Below are 8,899 nucleotides of genomic sequence, written 5' to 3' on the forward strand. Positions count from 1 at the left end.
CCTCCAATATGTTTATTCATATTGCTGAGGCAGGGGATTGCTTGAGCCCAAGAGTTTGAGGTTGCAGTGAACCATGATCATAAGCTGTATTTCAGCGTGAGTGAGAGATTGAGACCTTGTCTCACAAAATAAAAGTTAAAAAGCCCTTATCTGGAGGTGAGAAAGCCAAATACAAAGGTCTTCTCAGTTGGTTCCCAGTCTTCCCAGTCCAGCAGCCTCAGCATCACCAGGGAGCTGGTTAGGCAAATTCTCGGCCGCCCCAACCTACTGAATTGGAGACCCTGAAGATGGGGCTATCTGAATTTTAACAAGGCCTCCAGGTTTGCATGCTCAAGATTGAGAACCACTGGCAAAAGCAAACAATTTGAATCTGAAGTCAGCCCACCTGCATTTGAATACAGGCCCTGCCACTTAATAACTGTGATTTAGAGCAAGTTAGTTACTTAACAGCTAGGTTGACCAATTGTCCGAGTTTGCCTGGCACTGTCCTGATTTCAGCACTGAAAGTACTACATTATCGCTGTGGCTCACGCCTATAATCCCAGCTTCTCAAGCTGTCCCTGTGGAATCCTCAATATCGGTACATTCATCCCTATCTAGCATCCCCTTCCTCCCTCACCCATCCTGCACCCTCAGAATTCATTCTCAGATCACCTTCCCAGATTTTTGCCAATATCAATTAAAAAAATTTTTTAGCCAACCATGTACTGTGAGTAAGCCAATATCAATTAGCAAAATCTTTAAGTTTCTTTTGGTGATTCAGTATCTTCCCCCTGGAGTTTTTTGATGATTCAGTACCCTCCTAGATTTGGCCCCTGGGGCCTGCGGGGATGTGACTTGTCATTTAATTCTGGAGAAAATGAGGGGTAGGGCTTATAAGGAGACTCCTTCGGGGCAGGGTCATTACAGGGTGTGTTACATAGGGAAATGCTAGCTGCTGGCTAGCTCTCGCTCTTGAAAGGCTCTTCCTCCCTCAACTGAAATGGGGAAGGGGGAACCCCGGCCGACTGAGGTCCTGACATCTTTAGCACATGGCTTCTTAGGTCACCCAGGGCATCCAGGTTACCAGCTTGGGAAACAGGAGATGTAGGTTGGAGGAAGAGGCTACAGCCCACCCTGGAAATAACTGCCATCCGTCCCACCCATATGGTTAGGCTTTGTGTCCCCACCCAGATCTCATCTCGAATTACAATCCCCACGGGTTGAGGGATGGACCAGGTGGAGGTACTTGCATCCTGGGGGCAGTTTCCCCCATGCTGTGCTCGTGACAGTGAGTGAGTTCTCACGAGATCTGATGGTTTTAAAGCGTGGCAGTTCCTCTTTCTCGTGCTTACATCCTCGTAACTATCCTGTGGAGAAGGTGTCTGCTTTCCCCTACCTCCATGGTTGTAAGTTTCCTGAAGCCTCCCCAGCCGTGTGGAACTGTGAGTCAATTAAACTTCTTTATAAGTTACCCAGTCTCGGTGTTTGCTTTTTTGAGATGGAGATTTGCTCTTGTTGCCCAGGTTGGAGTGCAATGGCGTGATCTCGGCTCTTTGCAACCTCTGCCTCTCGGGTTGAAGCTATTCTCCTGCCTCAGCCTCCCAAGTAGCTGGGATTACAGGCGTGAACCACCACACCCAGCTAGTTTTGTATTTTTAGTAGAGAGGGGGTTTCATTATGTTGGTCAGGCTGGTCTCGTGCTCCAAGCCTCAGGTGATCCGCCCACCTCGGCCTCCCAAAGTGCTGGGATTACAGGCATGAGCCACCGCACCCAACCTTGGATGTTTCTTTATAGCAGTGTAGAAACAGACTCAGCCGTCGCTGCAGGCCATACCTCAGCTACATAGAACACCTAACTGCCCGCAAGGGAGTTCCTGCTACTAGGATCTTCAGAGTGACAAAGAGGAAGCTTTGGCTGGCAAGGGTGGTGGGGAGGGGAGGGGCTAGGTACCTAAGGCTTCCCTATCTTTCCACACAGCCTAATTTTCATAGCCTCTGGTCTCCACATTTCACTCTTTCCCAAATAAAGACCTTTTAAGGTGTGGGTCCCCTTGGTCATTCTGTAACCATTGGATCAAGTTTTCAGTTTTTTCTGCTCTCTCAGCTGCAAAATAACACATTCGAGTTTTGGTTTTTTTTATTTGGAGACAAAGTCTCACTCTGTCGCCCAGGCTGGAGTGCAGTGGTGTGATCTCAGCTCACTGTAACCTCTGCCTCCTGGATATAAGCGATTCTCCTGCCTCAGCCTCCCAAGTACCTGGGATTACAGGCACCCGCCACCACACCTGGCTAATTTCTGTATTTTTAGTAGAGACGGGGTTTTGCCATTTTGGCCAGGCACACTCGGGTTTTCTAACCATACCTTGAGCCAAGAATTTGGATTCTGAGCTTGTCTTTTCATTTAAGCTATGTGGCGCTGTTAACATGACCGCCCTGCCCAGCAGATCTTGACTTCAGTGTAATCTTTATTCTCTTCTATGGCAGGAGCCATTAGGTCCCCCAAAGCCTTGCCTTTGATGGGTACTTTGTTCCCGGGGACAATGGGATTAGCTGTCTTGCCAGGGCGTGCCATGGGGCTGCTGGTGTCCTGTCCCTTAATACCAGCTGGATTTTCACTGTCCTCTGGCCACTTTCCAGCCTTCAATTGCTCCTGTTTCCTTTGGGGCTTCTTGCTCTGTCCAGTCCTGGTCCTATTTTTGTGAGAATCAAGGTTCTTAGTTTTAACCAACAGAAACTAATTCTGGCAACTCTAAGCAGAAAGGGACTTGGTCAGAGGTCCTGGCTAGTTCCCAGGAGCTCAAAAGGGTCAGAAAATCAAATCAGGAAGAGGACATTGGGCAAAGCTGGCCAGGTGAAGAACCCACAGCCTCTGCTGGCACAGAAGCTACAATTGGCACCACCGAAGTGGGACAGAAGCTGCCACCTGTGCAAGCTAGATGTAGTCGCTGCCGCTGTCACCATCAATTTTTGAGATGATGCTTCTTCCTGCCTGCCACTTTAATTCAAAGCGAAGGCCAGGTGCAGTGGCTCATGCCTGTAATGCCAGCACTTTGGGAGGCCAAGGCAAGAGGATCGCTTGAGGACAGGAGTTTGAGATCAGCCTGGGCAACAGGGTGAGACCCCGTCTAGCCAAAAAATACAAAAAAAATAGCTGGGCAGAAAGAAAATGGCTCATGCCTGTAATCCCAGCACTTCAGGAGGCCGAGGCGGGTGGATCACCTGAGGTCAGAAGTTTGAGATTAGCCTGCCCAACACGGTGAAACACTTTCTCTACTAAAAATACAAAAAATTAGTCAGGTGTGGTGGCACACGCCTGTAATTCCAGCTACTCAGGAGACTGAGGTAGGAGAATCGCTTGAACCCGGGAGGTGGAGGTTGTAGTGAGCTGAGATCTCACCATTGCACTCCCCGCTGGGTGACAGAGCAAGACTAGTCTCAAAAAAAAAAAAAAGGGGCCACGTCGATGGAAGGACAAGAATAAAGAAACTGAGGCCGGGTATGGTGGCTCACACCTGTAATTCCAGCACTTTGAGAGTCCGAGGTGGGTGGATCACCTGAGGTCGGGAGTTCGAGACCAGCCTGACCAACACGGAGAAACCCTGTCTCTACTAAAGATACAAAAATTAGCCAGGCATGGTTGCGCATGCCTGTAATCCCAGCTATTGGCGAGGCTGAGGCATGAGAATCACTTAAACCTGGGAGGCGGAGGTTGTGGTGAGCCGAGATCGCGCCATTGCACTCTAGCCTGGGCAACAAGAGCGGAACTGTGGCTCAAAAAATAAATAAATAAATAAATAAAAAATAGAGACATTGGGCCAGGCACAGTGGCTCGTGCCTGTAATCCCAGCTCTTTGGAAGAATGAGGTAGGAGGATTGCTTGAGCCCAGGAGTCCGAGGGTGCAGTGATCACGTCATTAAACTCCCACCTGGGTGACAGAGTGAGGAGCTGTCTCCCCACCCCCATCCCGCAAAAAAAGAAGGTAACTGGGCAAAGAAGTTATTCTTAGTAGAGACTGGCTTTCATCATATTGGCCAGGCTGGTCTTGAATTCCTGACCTCAGGTGATCCACCCACCTCGGCCTCCCAAAGCGCTGGGATTACAGGTGTGAGCCACGGTGCCCAACCTCCTCTTCTCATTTAAACCTCAAAATCATCTCACAAAGCAGGTGCTATTAATACCCGCGTCTTACAGAACAGTTAACAGATGTGTCCAGGGCCGCATGGAGAACACCTTGAGAGAGCAATGAGATCTCGCTCTCCTGCCTCATGACCGATACACGGTTTCAAGAAGTTAGATGACATCACAGATACTCAGGGCACCCAGCTCCAGGCCTTACTGCCTTCGCACAAGGCCGCTCTCTACTAGCTTCACCCCGCATGGAATGCAATGGTCAATGAGGCCCTGGTCAGAACATGGGACTGACAAAGCCAGCACTTGTAGGCTGAGTCTCAGATCACGTGGCTTGTTTGTTTTGTTTGTTTGTTTTTGGGAGATGGAGTTTCACTCGTGTTGCCCAGGCTGGAGTGCAATAGCACCGTCTCAGCTCACTGCAACCTCCGCCTCCTTGTTCAAGCGATTCTCCTGTCTCAGCCTCCTGAGTAGCTGGGACTACAGGTGCACGCCACCATGCCTGGCTAGTTTTTGTATTTTTAGTAGAGATGGGGTTTCATCACATTGGTCGGGCTGGTTTCGACCTCCTGACCTCAGGTGATCCACCCACCTTGGCCTCCCAAAGTGCTGAGATTACAGGCGTGAGCCACTGTGCCCGGCTGGCTTTTTTTTTTTTTTTTTTTTTTTTGAGGAGTCGCACTCTGAAATCCAAGCTGGAGTGCAATGATGTGATCTCCCACCATGCTAGCTGTGTTTGTTGTTGTTGTTTTTTCTTTAGTAGAGATGGAGTTTCTCCATGTTGGTGAGGCTGGTCTTGAACTCCTGACCTCAGGTGATCCACCCACCTCGGCCTCCCAAAGTGCTAGGATTACAGGCGTGAGTCACCATGCCTGGCCTCAATTTCTTGAAAGACAAAAAAGACAAAAAGAAAAAGAGAAAGAAAGAAAAAGAAAAAAAAAGAAAAAGAAAGAGAAAGAGAACAAGAAAAAGAGAAGGAAAGCTCCATGGGTTTAAAGGCAAGAGTCAGCTTCAAGGAGGGCTGGGAAGTCAGGTGATGCCACCCCTGTGCTTCCCGCGGCCAGATCACCTGATGGAGGTACCGTTGGTTTTGGGCCCGTCTCTCAGCACTTGCTACCAGAGAGGACAGCTCTACACCAGAGAGTGAGGGTGGGAACCTGCTCACTGCTGTCTGCTCAGGGCTGGGCATGAGGCAGGTGCTCAGTAGGGGTCTGGAGAATAAATGAATGAACCATCACGGGGCCAAGCACCTGGAAGCGGGCTGGAGATGCTTGCTCTGGACTCCTGGCTCAGGAGTGGACTCCCCAGGTGGACTTCCTCCTGCATCGCCACAGCTGAGTGCATGGAGCACAGGTAGGGCAGCTAATGAGCAGGGTCATCATGAATGACAGCAGATGACACCAGGACAGGGGAGGTCAGTAGCCAGATGGGAAGAAAGCAGAATGAAACAGGTCGCCCGGGTGCAGTGGCTCATGCCTGTAATCCCAGCATTTCGGGAGGCCGAGGTAGGCGGATCACGAGGTCAGGAGATCGAGACCATCCTGGCTAACACGGTGAAACCCTGTCTCTACTAAAAATACAAAAATTAGCTGGGTGTGGTGGCAGGTGCCTGTAATTCCAGCTACTCAGGAAGCTGAGGCAGGAGAATTGCTTGAACCCAGGAGGCGGAGGTTGCAGTGAGCCGAGATCACACTACTGCACTCCAGCCTGGGTGACAGAGCAAAACTCCGTCTGGAAAAAAAAAAAAAAAAAAAAGAAAAAAGAAATACTAAGTAACTTGTCTGAGGCCACTTAGTTACCAAGACGTGGGAGCTGGGACTTGAACCCAGGCAGTCTGGCTGGATTCATGCCTGCAGCCTCTGCACTCCTGCTACTTACTGTGTGAGAAGCGCCTGTTCTGTGGCAGGTTGTGGGCTGAGATCTTTCCATGACTTCCACTCATTTACCCCCAAGGCTGTTCTTAAAGACGGGCATGACAGTTAGGCCCATTTTACAGATGGGGCCCTGAGGCTCACAAGGGCATGCCACTCACCCATCTCCACAAAGCTATAGCTCGTCAGCAGAGGGCAGAATTCGGCCGCCTCTCCCCTAGCTCGAAGGCTGTGATTGACACAGAGGTTTTGTTGTTGTTGTTGCTGTTGTTTGTTCCTTTTTCTTTTTTTTTTGAGACAGGGTCTTGCTCTGTCATCCCGGCTGGAGTGCAGTGGTGCGATCTCAGCTCACTGCAAACTCTGCCTCCAAGATGCAAATGATTCTCGTGCCTCAGCCTCCCAAGTAGCTGGAATTACAGGTGTGCACTACCATGCCCAGCTGTTTTTTGTAGAGATGGGGTTAGTAGAGATTTGTTTAATAGAGACGGGGTTTCACCATGGTCTCTACTAAACCCTGTCTCTACTAAAAATACAAAAATTACCCAGGCGTGGTGGCACATGCCTGTAGTCCCAGCTACTCAAGAGGCTGAGGCAGGAGAATCACTCGAACCTGGGAGGTGGAGGTTGCAGTGACCCAAAATCATGCACTCTGGCCTGGGGTCTCGCTTTTGCCCAGGTTAGAGTGCAGTGGCACAATCATAGTGGCTTACTGCAGCCTCAAACTCCTGGGCTGAAGGGAATCCTCCCACCTCAGCCTCCCAAGTAGCTAGGACTATAGGCATGTGCCATCATGGCGAGTTAATTTTTTGTGTGTTTTTATTTTCTCGAGACAGAGTCTTGCTCTGTTGCTCAGGCTGGACTGCAATGGCGTGATCTTGGCTCACCGCAACCTCCACCTCCTGGGTTCAAGCGATTCTCCTGCCTCAGCCTCCCGAGTAGCTGGGATTACAGGTGCGTGCCAGCATGCCTGGCTAATTTTGTATTTTTAGTAGAGACAGGGTTTCGCCATGTTGGTCAGGCTGCTCTCGAACTCCTGACCTCGTGATCCACCTGCCTCGGCCTCTCAAAGTGTTGGGATTACAGGCATGAGCCACTGAGCCTGGCCTGGGGAGCTAATTTTTAAATTTGTTATAGAGACAAGAGAGACAAGAGTCTCTCTTATGTTGCCCAGGCTGGTCTCGAACCCGTGGCCTCAAGTGATCCTCCCACCTCAGCCTCCCAAAGTGCTGGGATTACAGATGGGTGTCACCGCAGCTGGCCTCTGAGGAGGGTTTCATTATAAACCTGCCCTGAAGGGAGGGAATCCAATTTTACGAGAGGGTGTAGCCTGGTGAGGCCTGGATGACCTCCGCAGGCAGGGGCTTGTGCCTGGGCTGAGGCCTAAGGGACAATGGGCAGACATGAAGTTGCCCCAGGCAGAGGGTACAGTGTGGGCAAAGTCAGGAAGTGGCAGGGCTTGGATCACTCCAGGAAGAGAGAGGAGTCACGTGTCACAGGAGCTCGAGACCCAGAGAGAGAGTGAGGCAGGCAGGCAGGCAGGCAGGGACCAAGCTTGGGCACAGCCAGGAAGGCAGGACAGGGCATGGTGGGGCCAATGGAATCATTACCCAAGACGGGCATTTTCAGGGAAACAGCTTAGATAAGGCCAGGCGTACAGTAGCTCCCACCTGTAATCCCAGCATTTGGGGAGGCTGAGGTAGGAGGACTGCTTGAGCCTGGGAGTTCGAGACAAGCCTAGGCAACATAGTGAGACCCCATATCCACAAAAAATTTAAAAAAGGAGTTTGTGTTCCTGTAGTAGCATACTTGGGAGGTTGAGGTGGCAGTATCACTTGAGCCCGGGAGTTCAAGGCTAAAGTGAGCTGATTGATTGAGCCATTGCACTCCAGCCTGAGCGACAGAGAGATACGCTGTCTCAAAGGAAATACAAATTAAAAAACCAGCCGGGCATGCTGGCGTGTGCCTGTAGTCTCAGCTACTTGGGACACTGAAGTGGGAGGATCGCTTGAGCCCAGGAGTTCAAGGCTGCCGTGAGCTATGATTGTGCCTGTGCACTCCAGCCTGGGCGACAGAGAAAGACCCTGTCTGTCTCTTAAAAAAAAAAAAAAAAAAAAAAAAAATCTTAGAGGATGCTGTGCCTCCCTGGGGGTCTTCAGTCACCCATGGTCCTGGCAGCAGAGGAGGGCCAGGAGAGAGCTTCACCCACCTGCTGTCCTGCCCATGTGACATCCGCAGGTGCTGCCATGGCCACGACTGTTGTTACACTGGAGCTGAGGAGGCCGGCTGCAGCCCCAAGACAGAGCGCTACTCCTGGCAGTGCGTCAATCAGAGCGTCCTGTGCGGTGAGTCCCCAGCACCACCATGCCACCCACCCCGAGTATCCCCTGGGCATCCTGGCATAGCCAGATGACTTCCGTGCCCCTGTTGCAATAACCACTGCTTCCAACTCTCTATAGACCACCCCTTGGGTATATCTAATGTAAGTGATATTTATTTTATTTATTTTTTGAGTCAGAGTCTCGCTCTGTCACCCAGGCTAGAGTGTGCTGATGTGATCTTGGCTCACTACAACCTCTGCCTCCTGGGTTCAAGCGATTCTCATGCCTCAGCCTCCCAAGTGGCTGGGACTACAGGCATGCACCATCACGCCCAGCTAATTTTTGTATGTTTTTCAGTAGAGGTGGGGTTTCACCAAGTTGGCCGGGCTGGTCTCAAACTCCCCACCTCAAGTGCTCTGCCCGCCTCGGCCTCCCAAAGTGCTGGGATTACAGGCATGAGTCGTGGTGTCTGGCCCTAATGTGAGTGATCTTTAACAATGAAGACTTGAAAAAGAAAACCCTGAAGAAACCTAATTCTTTGATGTCTGGACGACAAGGAAGAAGATAGAAATGGCATCAGATAATAAACAGTGTAAATG

General features: G+C 50.6%; 1 annotated feature.

The window, feature by feature from the left end:
- Nucleotides 5,446-5,946: an enhancer, noted in NCBI's record as "H3K27ac hESC enhancer chr16:70006369-70006869 (GRCh37/hg19 assembly coordinates)". NCBI's record gives its function as "activates a minimal SCP1, AML or CMV promoter by ChIP-STARR-seq in primed H9 embryonic stem cells {active_cell/tissue: H9 hESC(primed)}" and the evidence as "EXISTENCE:reporter gene assay evidence [ECO:0000049][PMID:30033119]".

Source organism: Homo sapiens, chromosome 16 (genome assembly GCF_000001405.40).
Source record: "Homo sapiens chromosome 16, GRCh38.p14 Primary Assembly".
Taxonomy (NCBI): Eukaryota; Metazoa; Chordata; class Mammalia; order Primates; family Hominidae; genus Homo; species Homo sapiens.